This window comes from Homo sapiens, chromosome 2, assembly GCF_000001405.40.
Source record: "Homo sapiens chromosome 2, GRCh38.p14 Primary Assembly".
In the NCBI taxonomy this organism is placed as follows: Eukaryota; Metazoa; Chordata; class Mammalia; order Primates; family Hominidae; genus Homo; species Homo sapiens.
In genome coordinates, this window is record NC_000002.12 from 63292685 (window position 1) to 63310260 (window position 17576).

A 17576-nucleotide genomic window follows, 5' to 3' on the forward strand; every position below is an offset into this window, starting at 1 on the left:
AATTTTAGATCCCTTATCATCCCTGGATTCTGAACACTGATCTCTGGGAAGATGACAGAGTAGAAAGCACCAGGAATCTGGAACCTAAATAATAATTGCATTGGCAGAATCTGTCTGATGTAATTGTTTTGGAACTATGGAGTCTACTGAGGCTTGCAACTTTTAGGGAAAGGCTTGGATGGTAAATTGCAGTTAATTTTCAATTTCAGCTCTTAGCACAGTATCTGTTACACATCCACCACCCCAGCTGTATGGTGGGCAACTGTGCACACCTTCCAGAGCAGCTGGTGGTCAGCTGTCTGGAACGAGGGTGAGCAAAACATAGGGGTTCTGTGCTCTGTGAATTGATGCTTGATTGCAGAGGTGCAGACAGGGAGGCAGGGCACCTGACCCCTCATTGCACCTCACCCCTCATTATTGCAAACCCCTCCTCCTTGCCTGAAGTGACTTGTAGTAGATTTAAGGAGCTGTGCTCTCATTACCCCCTTCATTTTTCTTTCTTGCCCCTTTGCGAACCAAACATTAAAGACTAGGACTCTGAAATGCAACTGCATATATGGGGAAAATTAGAAAGTTACCACACATTCCAAGGGCAGGAAAAGTATAGTTTTGGACAAGGCCTGAGAAGACCTTAAGATTCACCTTAGTATAATCTTTGGCCCACAGTCAGCCTAAAACAATTGTAAAAACCCTAAAACGGTAATAAAAAACAGCAAACCCTGGAGAAGGATGTGAATCTGATTCTCAGTTACCATGTTATTAGATTCCAATGTCCAGTTTTCAGCAACAAAAAATCATGAGGCATATAATGAAATAGGAAAGTATGGCCTATTTTAAGAGGAAAAAATAAACAGAAACTGTCCCTGAAAAAAAAAGACCTAATGGCAGACCTACTAGACTGTAAAACAGCTGTCTAAAATCTGCTCAAAGACTTAAAGGAAGATGTGGGGAAAGTCAAAATTATGAATGAACAAAATGAAAACATCAATAAAAAGAAAACCTAAAAGCAAACCAGAAAGAAATTCTGGAGCTGGAAAATATAATGACAAGATGATTTCAAAGCCAGATTTGAGCAGACAGAAAAAGAATCAGGAACTTTGAAGACAGGACAATAAACATTATCAACCTAAGGAACAGAAAGAAAAAAGACTGAAGAAAAGTGAATAGAGCCTAACGGACCTGAGACATACCATCAAGCTGATCAACATATGCAGCATGGGAGCTCCAGAAGGAAAAGAGAAACTGCCAGAGAAAATCTTAAAAGAAATAATGGCTAAAAACTCCCCAAATTTGATGAAAGGTATGAATACAAACATCCAAGAAGCTCAATGAACTCCAAGTAAGATGAACTCAAATAAACCCACTGTGAGACACATTATAATTAAATGTTCAAAATACAAAGACAAAGGGAATGTTGAAAGCAGAAAGAGAGAAGTGATTTTTCACATACAAGGGCCCCTAAGTAATACTACCAGTAGATTTCCCATCAAAGGCTTTGGAGGTAAGAAAGCACTGGGCTGATAAAAGTGCCAAAAGAGGCCAGGGATGGTGGCTCATGCCTGTAATCCCCACACTTTGGGAGGCTGAGGCAGGCAGATCACTTGAGGTCAGGAGTTCAGGACCAGTCTGGCCAACAGGGGAAACCCCATCTCTACTAAAAATACGCATACAAAAAATTCGGTGGGCATCTTGGCAAGCCCCTGTAATCCCAGCTACTTGGGAGGCTGAGGGAGGAGAATCACTTGAACCCGGGAGGTGGAGGTTGCAGGGAGCTGAGATCATGCCACTCCACTCCAGCCTGGGTGATAGAACAAGACTGTTTCGAAAAAAAAAAAAAAAAAAAAAAAGTGCTGAAAGAAAAAAAATGTCAACCAAGAATCCCGTATCTGGCAAAATTGTCCTTCAAAAGTGAAGAAGAAATTGAGAAATTCCCAGATAAACCTAAACTAAGGGAGTTCATTACCACTAGACCTTGCCTGCAGGACATGTGCAAGGGAGTCCTGTAGGGTGAAATAAAAGGGCACTAGACAGCTACTCAAAGCCATACAAAGAAAAAAAAACTCAATAAAATTAACTACCAGGTATATTATAAAAGCTAGCATTATTGTAACAATGGTTCAAAATTCCACCTTTTGCTCTCTATACAAATTAAGATACTAATTCATTTTAAAAATTATGAGTCTAAAAGCTAGCATTATTGTAACTTTGGTTGGTAATACTACATTTTATATTTTATATGAGACAGATACATTTAAAAGAATTATTAGTTTATGTTATAGAGTAAACAACTTGTAACAAAGTAGTTTTGTGACATTAAAAACCAAAAAGGGTGTAGAGAAAGGCATGAAGGAGCAGAGTTTTTGTGTGTTACTGAAAATTAACCAGGTGTAAATCCAAATTATAGCCTTATAACTTTAGGATATTTAAATGTAATCCCCATGATAACTGCAAAGAAAATAGCTATAGAATATACACAAATGAAAGAGAGAGAAAAAAATATTTCACTACAAAAACAATCACCCAAACATGAAAAAGACAGTCATCCAGGAAATGAGGGACAAAAAAAGCTGTATGGTATAAAAAACGACTGGCAAAATAACAGAAGACCCTCTGTATTAGTAATTTTAATGCAAATGGATCAAACTTCCAATCAAAAGACATATTAACAGAATAGATAAAAACTGACTCAACTATACGCTGTAAGAGATTTACTATAGAGCCAAAGACTCTAATAGATTAAAAATGAAAAGATGAAAAAAAAGATATTCCATGCAAATAGTAACCAAAATAACAGGTATGGTAATACTAATATTCAGAAAAAAGACAGACTTTAAATTTAAAAAGGTTACAAGAGATAAAAAAAAGAATATTATATAAGTACAATCAGAAGTGATAACAGTGAAATTGCAACTGATAAGAAATATAAAAGATCATCAGAGATTACTATGAACATATATACACACATAAACCAGAAAACCTTGAGGAAATATATTAATTCCTATACGTCCTCCCAAGATTGAGCCAGGAAGAAATAGAAATCCTGAACAGACCAATAAAGAGTACTGAAATTGAATCAGTAATAAAAAAATCTTCGAACAACAACAACAACAAAAAAGCCCAGGACCAGATGAACTCATGGACTACTTTTATCAGATATACAAAGGAGAGCTGGTACCAAACTTAGTGAAACTATTCCAAAAAAAAAAAAAAAAAAAAAAAATCAAGTTGGAAGGATTCCTCCCTAATTCATTCTACAAAACCAGTATCATCCTGATACCAAAATCATGCAAAGACACAACAAATATTCCTAATAATACAGGCCAGTATTCCTAATAAATACAGATGTAAATATCCTCAACAAAATATTAGCAAACCAAATCTAACAACATATTAAAAAGGTAACTCACGATTAAGTGGGCTTTATTCCAGGGATACAAGGATGGTTCAACATTCACAAATCAATAATTGTGATTCACCACATAAACAGAATTAAAAACAAAAACCATATGATCATCTCAGTAGATGCAAAAAAAAAAAAAGCATTTGATAAAATCCAGCATCCCTTCATGATAAAAACCCTTGGCAAACTATGCATTGAGGGAACATACTTCAAAATAAAAACGGCCATCTATGACAAGCCCACAGCAAACATCATACTGAATGGAGAAAATTTGCAAGCATTCCCCCTTAAAACAGGAACAAGACAAGGATTTCCACTCTCAGCACTACTATTCAACATAATACTGGGAAGTCCTAGCTGCAGCAATCAGGCAAGAGAAAGAAATAAAACGTATCCAACTAGGAAAAGAGTAGTCAAACTATCTCTATTCACTGATTACATGATCTTATACCAAGAAAATCCTAAAGACTCCTCCAACAGACTTCTAGACTTGAAAAATGACTTCAGTAAATTTCCAAATACAAAATCAACATACAGAAATCAGTAGCATTTCTATAAACCAATAACATTCAAGCTGAGAGTCAAATCAGGAACTCAATCCCATTTACAGCAGCCATAAAAATTAAAATACCTAGTAGTATATTTAACCAAGGATGTGAAAGATCTCTACAAGGAGAACCACAAATGCTGATAAAAGAAATCACAGATGATACAAAAAAAATGGGAAAACATTCCATGCTCATGGATTTGAAAAATCAGTATTGTTAAAATGACCACACAGCCCAAAGCAATCTACAGATTCAATGCAATTCCTATCGAAGTACCAATGTCATTTCACAAAATTAGAAAAAACAATCCTAAAGTTCTTATCGAATCAAAAAAGAGCCCAAATAGCCAAAGCAATCCTAAGGAAAAAGAATGAAGCTGAAAGCATCACATTATCTGAATGCTGTTGTTCTGGATGCCTACTGACTCCAATAAGGATGGCACCATGTCTGAGAGGCTGAAGAAGAGACCCGGAGCCAGCAAACGAGGCACAGCATTTAGTGAGGAACTTACATAAAAGGATGGTCCAGAGGTGGTGAGTTGGACAGGAGAACTGTTACCGCTTGTAAAAAGCATGTGGTTTATATAGCATTTTCACTTAACAACCTCCACTTGGCCAAAATAATCCCCGGTACAGCCTGCATTCCAAGGGGTGGGCTGGGGGTTCAGATGTCCTCCGTAAATATGGAATAGATCCTCAGGTTCGTCACTCTTGGATTCCTTAGCTTAGGACTCCAGACACACATTCTTGTAAGACAACAGGATCATTCTCAGGGTATACTTAAGTTATTGCTGTCAGGTGCATGTGCCATACACTCCACCCTAACATACTCTTGAATGGCCCTCTCGTTCTTATCATGCCATTTCCTCTATTATTCTCCTACAGTCAGGTATGTGGAGGAGCATTTCAGCCAGATGCTACAGCAGCAATACAAACTACAACAACAAAAAAGAATAACAAATATAATGACAATCTCACTGGATAGAAAGTTCTACCAAGTGCTTGGGAGTTGATTTAACCATGTTGTTATAGGGGTGTAAGACAGAGATTCTATAGTGTTATTATAATATACACTATAGAATATAATGCACAGGGTAGACCTAAATACTGGTATTTAGGACCCGCATGGCCTAGTTACACTGTGAGAGTAATCAGGGATATATACACAACATTCAGTTTTAACTAATGCACAGGTTCTACCCAGGGCAGCAGTTAAGATGTCCATGCCATTTTGCAAAGTAATGTGTCTGATTTGGGTGGTCTCTACAGTAAGAAGAAGAATAGCATGATTGGTATCATTAATGGCTGCAGCCATATGTTTAGCCTCAACTTGCAGCTCTATCTATATCTATTGTTGCCACTTGGGGAGAAAAAATGGCCAAAGGGTAAAACCTCCAGAATGCATGCTTCTGGCAGTACCTGACTTTTACACTCTCCCAGTGAATAGGAATGCATGGTATCTAAACGGGACACAACGCATACTGACAAGGATGCCACCAGGTGCATATACCAGTCCAATTAGAGGGTAAGTAAGGCCAGCTGTGGGTGTCACGGCCCATAACAATCCCCAAGGGGAGGGATAGGCCCCCATGTGGAGAGAGTTATACTGCCACCCAGCCACATATCTTTGGTTATTTGAAGGGATCGGTTACATTGCTGTGGGGATAGCCATCTGTGATGGTTAATATTGTCAACTTGATTGGATTGACGTATGCAAAGTATTGTTTCTGGGTGTCGCCAGAAGAGATTAACATTTGAATCAGTGGACTGGGAGAGGAAGAACCACCTTCAGGAAGACCCACCCACAATGTGGGTGGGCATTATCCCATTGGCTGCCAGCATGGCTAGAAAAGCAAGCAGAAGAAGGTGGAAGAAGCTGACTTGCTGAGTCTTCTTGCCTTTATCTTTCTCCCATGCTGGATGCTTCCTGCTCTCAAGACTCCAAGTTCTTCAGCTTTTGGACTCTTGGACTTACATCAGTGGTTTGCCAGGGGCTCTCGGGCCTTCAGCCACAGCTGTGAGGCCACAATGTTGACTTCCTTACTTTTGAGGTTTTGGGACTTGGGCTGAGCCATTACTGGGTTCCTTGGCAGCCATTACATAGAGGCAAAGGTCCTATGTAGTCTACCTGCCACTGTTGCACTTGGCTGCAGCCCTGGCCTATCTGTTCAGTATTGTGTGGAAAGGGCCTGAGGTGTTGCTGTGCACAGGTAGGACATTGCTGATAGATGAGTACTATATCTTTATATCATAGTGGTAGTCCTCAATTTTCACTATGTCCCAAAAGGTATGTGGTCCCCAATGTCCTGTCTTTTTATGTAGCCAGTAAGCCACATCTTTTGTGGGCACTTCCTTGAGGAGGAGAATGTAGGCTAGGCTTGTCTACCTGTTGATTTCCAGGTGGTGTAGATGCAATGTGGGCATCCACATGGTAGACTGTTACATGCATCCTCTGGATGCATGGAGAACGTCATTCCACACGTCAGCACCTGAAAGGGCACAGGCTGCTATTGACCAATCCTGTGTTTTCCACCATAGTAGCCACATTGTGAGTCCCTTAAAGACAGCCCAGCTGTCAGTGCATAGGACTACTGGGTCCAGCTTATGAAGGAGGACCATCCAAGCTGCCTACAGCTCAGCCCATTGGCTACTATGCCCTTCACCTGTATCAAACCAGATACTATCAGTGGATGGCTGAGTGGCCACAACTGTCTAGTTGCAAGGATTGCATCGTGATGAGCCATCTGTGTACCAGGCCTGGTTAGGAATTGGACCCTGTCCCTACTGTAAAAAGGAAGGGATTTGTGGAGGCTCAGCATCCTCCACTGAAGACTGTCCTTCAGTTGTAACATAAGTGACAGGTCCAAGCATCAAATGGAGCTCTGCAATCAAGGGGCTATTAGTTCATGTGCTCCTCTGTTGAAGGCAGGCTTCACATTTGGCCAGTCTGGGCATTCATAGACTTTGGTTTCTGGAAGGTACCCTTCAGCCAACCTGCTGTGAGGTACGGGGTGCATACGAGCCTCGAGACCCTCTTTGTAATGTCCTCAACTTGTAAGGCATAATATGTAGCACAAAGTTGTTGCTCTGCGACATTACATTTAACTCCAGTCCCCTTCCATAGTGATGCAGGAGTTAAGAAGAAATCCCTTAGGCAGATAGCAAGGACATGGGAGTCCTTGGAAAGGCTTTTCTGTTTAATAAAAAGCAGCCCCGATCATTTTCTAACAAAGAACAGCCTGCAAGCTGGGAGCTTGCATGGATGAATGCCGGCAGGAACTAAGGACTGGACATTTTTAAGATGGCGGCTCCATCTTCCCTTCTCTGCCAGCCACGTGTGCTGTAAGGAGCAGATAAGATGGCACTGATCAACTGGAAAGCCCTGGGACAACTAGCCTTCCCTGCTTGCTATGTAAACATCATACCTGATGGAACCAATCTATGAGCCCTATATAAATCAGACACCACCTCCTCAAACTGGACTATAAACTTGGCCAGCTGGCCCTTTCTGCTAGGAGACCTCTTCCTCTACGGAGGAAGCTGTTGCTCTTTCTCTTCTCTTCTACCTATTAAACCTCTGTTCCTAAACTCCTCATGTGTGTCTGTGCCCTAAATTTTCCTGGTGCATGACAATGAACCCCAGGGTTTATAACCCAGACAATGTAGCCACTTCATAATGGGAACCTTGTCTAGGATACCAAGTACAACATTCATCAAAATGGTGAGTAGAGGGGAGCGAACTCCAACTCTGTCCTTTCCTTCTGAGGCTCTCAGCCTCCATTTTAGACCTTTCATGGAGGACTTAGTTGTTGCATGGGACTGAAAGAAGTCCTAGGGCAAATGAATATTTCTTCTGGCCAGAGCTCCCACCTGGTATTATTCAAAGGCTTCTGGACTGACCCCAGCCTCTGACTGCCCTGATGGGGTGTCAGCAACAGGATCCCCAACTTTCCTATCATAATTTCCTCCTTTCCTGTTTGCAACTATCATATCTCTTATCCTGTGTATGAAATATATGTGGGAAGTTTTACAGTTCAGGTAAGTAATATTGTTTGGCAATATCAGAGAATGTCTAGTAACTGGGGATATAGCTCAAGGGAAGATGTCTTTGTGATTTTCTAGGAACAGAGGGTTCCCCCCACCACAGTGACTGTCTCTCTCTTAGCCTTTGGTCTGAAGAGCACATGTCATTTCCAGGTCTCTGCCCTTGGTCTGGAGAGTACATGGCATTTCCAGGTCTCTCTGTCCTTGGTCTAGAGAGTACGTGGCATTTCCAGGTCTCTCTCTGCCTTTGGTCTGGAGAGCATGTGGCATTTCCAGGTCTCTCTCTGTCCTTGGTCTGTAGAGCACATGGCATTTCCAGGTCTCTATCTGCCCTTGGTCTGAAGAGCACATGGCATGTCAAGGTCACTCTGCCCTTGGTCTAGAGAGCACATGGTGTTTCAAGGTCAACAGTGCCACCTAGTGGGACAGGGATCCATGAGGCACATTGTTGGTCCTTCAACAAAATACCCTAGCCTCTCAATTATCTTCCCTTTTTGAGCCTCTCTACTGGAAACCAGGCTTTCTGCTGCTTTGGTAAACGGGAAAATTCTGCCTTCAACAATTGCATTAAAATATCCTCCAAAGCCAAATTTTAGTCTTGATACTGTCCCATCAGCAGGAAAATGGCCATTCAGTCTCTACGTTCTTTTAAGGTACCTGTTCTGCCTCCAATTAGAGTGGCACTTAATTAGTAAGGGGATTTTAAGTTCAGAAGTTAGCCTGAACCATTCTCTATGGGTAAACGCTTCAGCACAGGCCATAATAGCAGGATATAAAGTTCAATCTAGCATACCCCCTCCATTAAAGTGGCCTTCTTCAACTATTATGTAGTTTTTCTGGAGATCCATTTTTCAGGGAGCCAGGCAGGTCACACAAATCTAGGAAGTCAAAGGGAAATCACAGGCAGAGAACTAGAGCCACTTGGGTAAGCATGACTAATCCCAATCTCTTAGTTCCTCTGGTTCCATGGCTGGGGGTCACGCCAGCAACCATGAGCAGCATGTTCAACAAGGTGTCAGGACCCAGGAACTATAGAGGGAAAACAGCAAGGGGACACCCCCACTGTCTTCCTCTCCACACTGAGTCACACCAAAAGGAAGGAGACAAAGGGATGCCTTTTTTTTTTTTTTCCACTTTTCTTTCTAGATGGGTACTATCTGAAACCTGCACTCCCTTGGAGTGCATTCTGAAGCACTGGGACTTCTTTCACCCTGAGACTTTAAAGAAAAAGCAGCTCATTTTCTTTTGCACAAGGGCATGGCCTTTTTACTAGATCTTTGCAAGTGTTACAAAATCAACCTAGTGCTTTTAGCAATCATATCGGGCAGACCCAAAAAGAATATTTCTCCAAAATTAGAGAAGCAACTTCGAAGGGAACCACCTCATGATCCCCCTCATTTGGGGCCCCTTCAAGTTCCCTTGTCATTACAGGACCTTAGGCAAATAAAGGGAGACTTAGGTCAATTTTCTAACGACTCTGATAGGTATATAGAAGCTTTCCAAAATTTAACTCATGTATTTGACCTCTCATAGAAGGATGTTAGGCTGCTCCTAAGCCAAACCCTAACCACAGCTGAGAAGCAGGCAGCTCTGCAAGCATCAGAGAATATCAAAGATGAGCAATATGTCTCCTATAGTGGGCCAAAAGAGAAAAGAGAAAATAGAAAAGGGGAAGAAATACAGCAAATACCATTCCCAGTAGGATAGGAAATACCTGTTCACAATCTTAATTGAAACTACCAGACTTTTCTATGGTGTTTTTCCTTCTTTCATGGTTTAAAATGGCTTCTCTTTTATAATGTTCTTCCAACTTTGGAAAAATTAATTTCCCAACCATTAAAATGCTTGGCTTAGAGTTGAGCTAGGAGGAAGGGAACCCAGAAGCCTGACATGCCAACAAAAGGGTAAAAATTTCTTACCAGTTGGGCTTTTGGCTTCTCTCTCCCTGTGCAAATTGGTAAAAGGGATAAATAAGGATAATTGCTAATATTCTCTGTAAAGTTTTAATGAAAAAGGATTTGTGAGGTTGGTGTCAAGCTGTAGACACTCTTGTGTGCTTTGTGTGTCTTTCTGTATGGTTCTGTCAGAAGAAAGGGTACTTTAGGTTAAGATGTAGACCCAGGACCCCATACGACTGCTGTTCAAGCCAGCCCAACAAAATGATCAGTAACAAACTTGGCTACAGGCCTCCATCTTGTTTCATGTCCTTGGGAACATGACCTGTAAACACATGGCAATATTTTGTTTTAGTCTCTGCCATTTTACAATGGTGACTATCTTCTTGTGCTAAGTCAGTTCCTGGGTGAGGGCCACAAAATCAGAAGCCAGTTTTCTGAGTGGGGTCAGGGTATATACCCCAAAGTAGCCACTTCAATAGATGGTACCAGAATCCTAAAGGCACATGTATATGTCCGTGTGTTTCCTACAGGCCCCACCCAAGCCCCTCAGAGTAACTGGCTACCTCCAATTTACAAGGCTATCCCTGCACTATAACTTCCAAGGCCTGCATTTATTTCACTGCGATTTTAGCTTGTTCAAGGCCACATCCTCCTTTGTGGACCAGTTCCAGTGGCCCTCCTTCTTGACTAAGCCATCTAGGGGCCTAAGGAGTTGTACCAAATGGGGAAATAAAAGGACATCAATACCCTAGAAGGCCTAAGAAGGTTTGCAGCTGCTCTGGTGTGGTAGGACGTGGGTTGGCCTTTACCTTATTCTATAATGGTAGACTGAATAAATTTAGTCTCACCCCACTAGATGAAACCCAGGTATTTGACTGATACGCCTGGACCCTGGACTTTGCATTGACCACCCATTGTACCTCTGTAGGTCAAGTAAGACAGCAAGGTTGGGGCTGCAGTTTCTAAGCTAGAAAAAGACTCAGAAGTTAGCATGATATCATCAGTATAATGGAAAACACATACCCCTCTGGAGTGGTCCACTGACTGAGGTTGGAGGCCTTTTGGCCACAACAGACAGTGGGGCTAAGTAAAGATACCAGGGGCAACACGGTAAAGATTCACCGTTCTCTTTTCCCAGATGAATGCATATTGGTCTTGGCTCTCTGGGGCAATGGGAATGCTAAAGAAGGCCTTGGTAAACAACCCAGCAAGAGAAAAGAACAAACAATCCCATTAAAAGTGGGCAAAAGAGATAGACATTTCTCAAAAGAAGACATATAAGCAGTCAATAAACATATGAAAAAATGCTCAACATCACTAATTATCAGAGAAATTAAAATTAAAACCACACTGACATTTCATCTTACATGACTCAGAATGGCTATTAGTAAAAAGTCAAAAAAAAAAAAAAAACAGATGTAGGCAGGGATGTGGAGTAAAGGGAGCCCTTGTACACTGTTGGTGGGAATGTGAATTAGTACTACTTCTATAAAAAACAGTATAGATGTTTTACAAAGAACTAAAAATAAAACTACCATTCAACCCAGCAATCCCACAACTGGGCATCTACCCAAAGGAAAATAAATTATTATATAAAAAAGACACTTGCACTCATATGTTTATTGCAGTATTATTCACAATAGTAAAGTCATGGAATCAACTGAAGTCTTCATCAATGGTTGATTGTATAAAGAAAATGTGACATATGGGTGGCTGGCAAGATGGCTGAATTGGAACAGCTCCAGTCTGCAGCTCCCAGTGAGATCAACACAGAAGGTGGGTGATTTCTGCATTTCCAACTGAGGTACCTGATTCATCAAATTGAGACTGGTTAGATGGTGGGTGCAGCCCACAGAAGGCGAGCTGAAGCAGGGTGGGGCATCGCCTCACATGGGAAGCACAAGGGGTCGGGGAACTCCCTCCCCTAGCCAAGGGAAGCTGTGAGGGACTGTGCTGTGAGGGACTGTACCGTGAGGAACAGTGCATTTAGGCCCAGATACTACACTTTTCCCATGGTTTTCGCAACTTGCAGACCAGGAGATTCCCTCGGGTGCCTACACCACCAGGGCCCTGGGTTTCAAGCACAAAACTTGGTGGCTGTTTGGGAAGACACCGAGCTAGCTGCAGGAGTTTTTTTTCATACCCCAGTGGTGCCTGGAATGCCAGTGAGACACAACCGTTTACTTCCCTGGAAAGGGGGCTGAAGGCAGGGAGCCAGGTGGTCTAGCTCAGCGGATCCCACCCCCATGGAGCCCAGCAAGCTAAGATCTACTAGCTTGAAATTCTTGCCAGCACAGCAGTTTGAAGTCCACCTGGGACACTCGAGCCTGGTGGGGAGAGCGGCATCCACCATTATTGAGGCTTGAGTAGGCAGTTTTCCCCTCACGTTGTAAACAAAGCTGCCAGGAGGTTCAAAATGGGAAGAGCCCACCACAGATCAGCAAAGCCGCGGTAGCCAGACTGCCTCCCTAGATTCCTCCTCTCTGGGCAGGGCATCTCTGAGAGAAAGGCAGCAGCCCCAGTCAGGGGCTTATAGATAAAACTCCCACCTCCCTGGGACAGAGCACCTGGGGGAAAGGGCGACTTTGGGCACAGCTTCAGCAGACTTAAACATTCCTGCCTGCTAGCTCTGAAGAGAGCAGTGGATCTCCCAGCACAGCACTCAAGCTCTAAGGGACAGACTGCCTCCTCAAGTGTGCCCCTGACCCCCGTGACTCCTGACTGGGAGACATCTCCCAGCAGGGGTCAATAGACACCTCATACAAGAGAGCTCCTGCTGGCATCTGACAGATGCCCCTCTGGGACGAAGGAACAGGCAGCGATCTTTGCTGTTCTGCAGCCTCTGCTGGTGATACCCAGGCAAACTCCAGCAGACCTGCAGTAGAAGGGCCTGACTACTAGAAGGAAAACTAACAAACAGAAAGAAATAGCATCAACATCAACAAAAAAGACGTCCACACAAAAACCCCATCCAAAGGTCACCAGCATCAAAGACCAAAGGTAGATAAATCCACAAAGATGAGGAAAAACCAGGGCAAAAAGGCTGAAAATTCCAAAAACCAGAAAGCTGCTTCTCCTCCAAAGGATCACAGCTCCTTGCCAGCAAGGGAACAAAACTGGATGGAGAATGAGTGAGACGAATTGACAGTAGGCTTCAGAAGGTGGGTAATAACAAACTCCACCGAGCTCAAGGAGCATGTTCTAACCCAATGCAAGGAAGCTAAGAACCTTGAAAAAAAGTTAGAGGAATTGCTAACTAGAATAACCAGTTTAGAGAAGAACATAAATGACCTGATGGAGATGAAAAATACAGCACAAGAACTTCACAAAGCATACTGAAGGAGATAGAGACACAAATGACCCTTCAAAAATCAATGAATCCAGGACCTATTTGAAAAGATTAACAAAATACATAGACTGCTAGCCAGACTAATAAAGAAAATAGAGAAGAATCAAATAGACACAATAAAAAATGATAAAGGGGATACCACCAATGATCACAGAAATACAAACTACCATCAGAGAATACTATAAACACCTCTCTGCAAATCAACTAGAAAATCTAGAAGAAATAGACAAATTCCTGGACACGTACACCCTCCCAAGACTAAACCAGGAAGAAGTTGAATACCTGAATAGACCAATAACAAGTTCTGAAATTGAGGCAGTAATTAATAGCCTACCAACCAAAAAAAGCCCAGGACCAGACAGATTCACAGCCGAATTCTACCAGAGGTACAAAGAGGAGCTGGTACCATTCCTTCTGAAACTATTCCAAACAATAGAAAAAGAGGGACTCCTCCCTAACTCATTTTATGAGGCCAGCATCAACCTGATTCCAACACCTGGCAGAGTCACAACAAAAAAAGAAAATTTCAGCCCAATATCCCTGATGGAAATCAATGTAAAAATCCTCAATAAAATACTCGCAAACTGACTCTGGCAGCATATCAAAAAGCTTTGTCCACCATGATCAAGTCAGCTTTATCCCTGGGATGCAAGGCTGGTTCCACATATGCAAATAAATAAACGTAATCCATCACATAAACAGAACCAATGACAAAAACCACATGATTATCACAATAGATGCAGAAAAGGCCTTCCATAAAATTCAACACCACTTCATGCTAAAAACTCTCAATAAACTAGGTATTGATGGAACATAGCCCAAAATAATAAGACCGATCTATGACAAACCCACAGCCAGTATCATACTGAATGGGCAAAAGATAGAAGCATTCCCTTTGAAAACCAGCACAAGACAGGGATGCCCTCTCTCAGCACTCCTATTCAACATAGTGATGGAAGTTCTGGCCAGGGCAATCAGGCAAGAGAAAGAAATAAAGGGCAATCAAATAGGAAGAGAGGAAGTTAAATTGTCTCTGTTTGCAGATGACATGATTGTATATTTAGAAAACCCCATCGTCTCAGCCCAAAATCTCCTTAAGCTGATAAGCAACTTCAGCAAAGTCTCGGGATACAAAATCAATGTGCAAAAATCACAAGCATTCTTATACACCAATAACAGACAGAGAGCTAAATCATGAGTGAACTCCCATTCATAATTGCTACAAAGAGAATAAAATACCTCAGAATACAACTGACAAGGAATGTGAAGGACCTCTTCAAGGAGAACTACAAACCACTGCTCAAGGAAATAACAGAGGACACAAACAAATGGAAAATATTCCATGCTCATGGATAGGAAGAATCAATATCATGAAAATGGCTATACTGCCCAAAATAATTTATAGACTCAATGCTATCCCCATCAAGCTACCATTGACTTTCTTCACAGAATTAGAAACAAAACTACTTTAAATTTTATATGGAATCAAAAAAGAGCCCACATTGCCAAGACAATCCTAAGCAAAAAGAACAAAGCTGGAGGCACCATGCTACCTGACTTCAAACTATACTACAAGTCTACGGTAAACAAAACAGCGTGGTACTGGTACCAAAAACAGATATATAGGCAAATGGAACAGAGGCCTCAGAAATAATGCCACACATCTACAATCATTTGATCTTTGACAAACCTGACAAAAACAAGCAATGGGGAAAGGATTCCCTTTTTAATAAATGGTGTTGGGAAAATTGGCTAGCTATGTGCAGAAAACTGAAACTGGACCCCTTATACAAAAATTAACTCAAGATGGATTAACCATTTAAATGTAAGACCTAAAACCATAAAAACCCTAGAAGAAAACCTAGGCAATACCATTCAGGACACAGGCATGGGCAAAGACTTCATGACTAAAACATCAAAAGCAATGGCAACAAAAGCCGAAATTGACAAACGGGATCTAACTACACTAAAGAGCTTCTCCACAGCAAAAGAAACTATCATCAGAGTAAACAGGCAACCTACAAAATGGGAGAAAATTTTTGCAATGTATCCATCTGACAAAGGGCTAATCTACCAAGAACTTAAACACAAAGAAATTAAACAAAGAACTTAAACAAATGTACAAGAAAACAAACAAACAACCCCATCAAAAAGTGGGCAAAGAATATGAACAGACACTTCTCAAAAGAAGACATTTATGCAGCAACAAACATATGAAAAAAAGCTCATCATCACTGGTCATTAGAGAAATGCAAATCAGACCCACAATGAGATACCATCTCACGCCAGTTAGAATGGTGATCATTAAAAACTCAGGACAACAGATGCTGGAGAGGATGTGGAGAAATAGAAACGTTTTAACGCTGTTGGTGAGAGCACAAATTAGTTCAACCATTGTGGGAGACAGTGTGGCAATTCCTCAGGGATGTAGAACTAGAAATAACATGTGATCCAGCAATCCCATTACTGGGTATATACCCAAAGGATTATAAATCATTCTACTATAAAGACATATGCACACGTATGTTTATTGTAGCAGTATTCACAATAGCAAAGACTTGGAACCAACCCAAATGCCTATCAGTGATAGACTGGATAAAGAAAATGTGGCACATATACACCATGGAATACTATGCAGCCATAAAAAAGGATGAGTTCATGTCCTTTGCAGGGACATGGATGAAGCTGGAAACCATCATTCTCAGCAAGCTAACACAGGAACAGAAAACCAAATAGCACATGTTCTCACTCATAAGTGGGAGCTGAAGAGTGAGAACACATGGACACAGGGAGGGGAACATCACACACTGAGGCCTGTCAGGGGGTCGGGGGCTAGGGGAGAGACAGCATTAGGAGAAATAACTAATGTAGATGATGGGTTGATGGGTGCAGAAAACCAATGGCACATGTATACCTATGTGACAAACCTGCATGTTCCGCACATGTGTCCAAGAACCTAAAGTATAATCAAAGAAAATGTGGTAAATATACATCATGAAATACTGTTCAGCCATAAAAAAGAATGACATCATGTCCTTTGCAGCAACATGGATGGAGTTTGAGAACATTATCCTAGTTGTAGTAACTGAGGTAATCAAACACCACATATTCTCTCTTATAAGTGTGAGCTAAATATTGGGTACACATGGACATAAAGATGGAAATAACAGACACTGGGGACTCCAAAGTTGGTAGAGGAGTAAGGGTTAGAAATTTACCTATTGGATACAATGTTTATTATTTGGATAAGGGGTACACCACAAGCCCAATCCTCACCATTACTCAGTGTATCCATGTGACAAACCTGTCCATGTACTTCTGAATGTAAAACTAAAAAAAGTTAAAAGATGGCATATACTGATGCAAATTTAAATACAGCAAGAAAAATAACAATAATTAACATTTATGTACCTAATACCGTATCATCAAATATATGAAGCAAAAACTGACAGGAGGGGTACGGTGGTGCATGCCTGTAATCCCAGCTACTTGGGAGGCTGATGTGGCAGGATTGCATAAACCAAAGGGTTCAAGTCCAGTCTGAGCAACATAGTGAGACCCTGTCTCTTAAAATAAACCAAACAGAATTGAAGTGAGAAATAGTCTACAATAGTAGTTGGAGACTTCAATACCGTACTCTTAATAATTGCTAGAAAACCAGACAGAAGGAAACAGAAGTCTTAAACAACACAATAAATCAACTAGTTGTACAAATACAAAATATTCTTCCCCAAAACATACACATTATTCTCATGTCTATATAAGACATTTTCTAGGATAAACTAAGTTTCAATAGATTTAAAACGATAGACATCAAAGTATCTTCTCCCATCACAATGGGATGAAGTTACAAATCAATAACAGAATTAAAACAAAAAAAAACCCCAGTTTCTGGAAATCATGTAAATAACACACTCAGACAACTAATGGATTAAAAAAGAAACCACAAGGGAAATTAGAAAATTTCCCTTAGAGACAAATAAAAATGAAAACACAGAGTATGTACTCTGAAACTAGGCTGCCTTGATTCAATTCCAATCTTTCAGGTAGAGACTACTTGTTTTTAAACACCCAAATATCAATAGCTACCTAAATTCCAGCATTGTTAATCTGACAAATGTATAAACAATGTAAAGTGAAGTACTACCTAAATATTTGAAAAGTGAGTAATATAAAATATATACTAGAACTGTAGTTCTTAAGTCATTACAATATGCCAGGCACTTCATATATATTATTAATTCATTTGATACTTAAAGCACACTAGGGATTTATGCATTATCATCACCACAGGTAATAAAATGAAAGCAAGCAAAGTTAGGTAAATTATACAAAATT

At 41.0% G+C, this 17576-nt stretch overlaps 1 protein-coding gene across 21 annotated transcripts in view; it reads right to left on the reverse strand.

Annotated features, from left to right (window-relative positions):
• The window catches only part of WDPCP (WD repeat containing planar cell polarity effector), a 721268-nt gene that overhangs the window by 173126 nt on the left and 530566 nt on the right, over positions 1 to 17576 (reverse strand). Inside the window, exon 14 of one of the 21 annotated variants that reach the window (XM_017004253.3) lies at positions 11495 to 16194. The exons of the other annotated variants lie outside the window; for them this stretch is intronic. Within the exon in view, the coding sequence (XP_016859742.1) occupies positions 16153 to 16194 (42 nt within the window). The 3' untranslated portion in view covers positions 11495 to 16152. Of the gene's footprint in view, positions 1 to 11494; positions 16195 to 17576 lie in introns of those variants that run through there. 21 annotated transcript variants of the gene reach the window in all.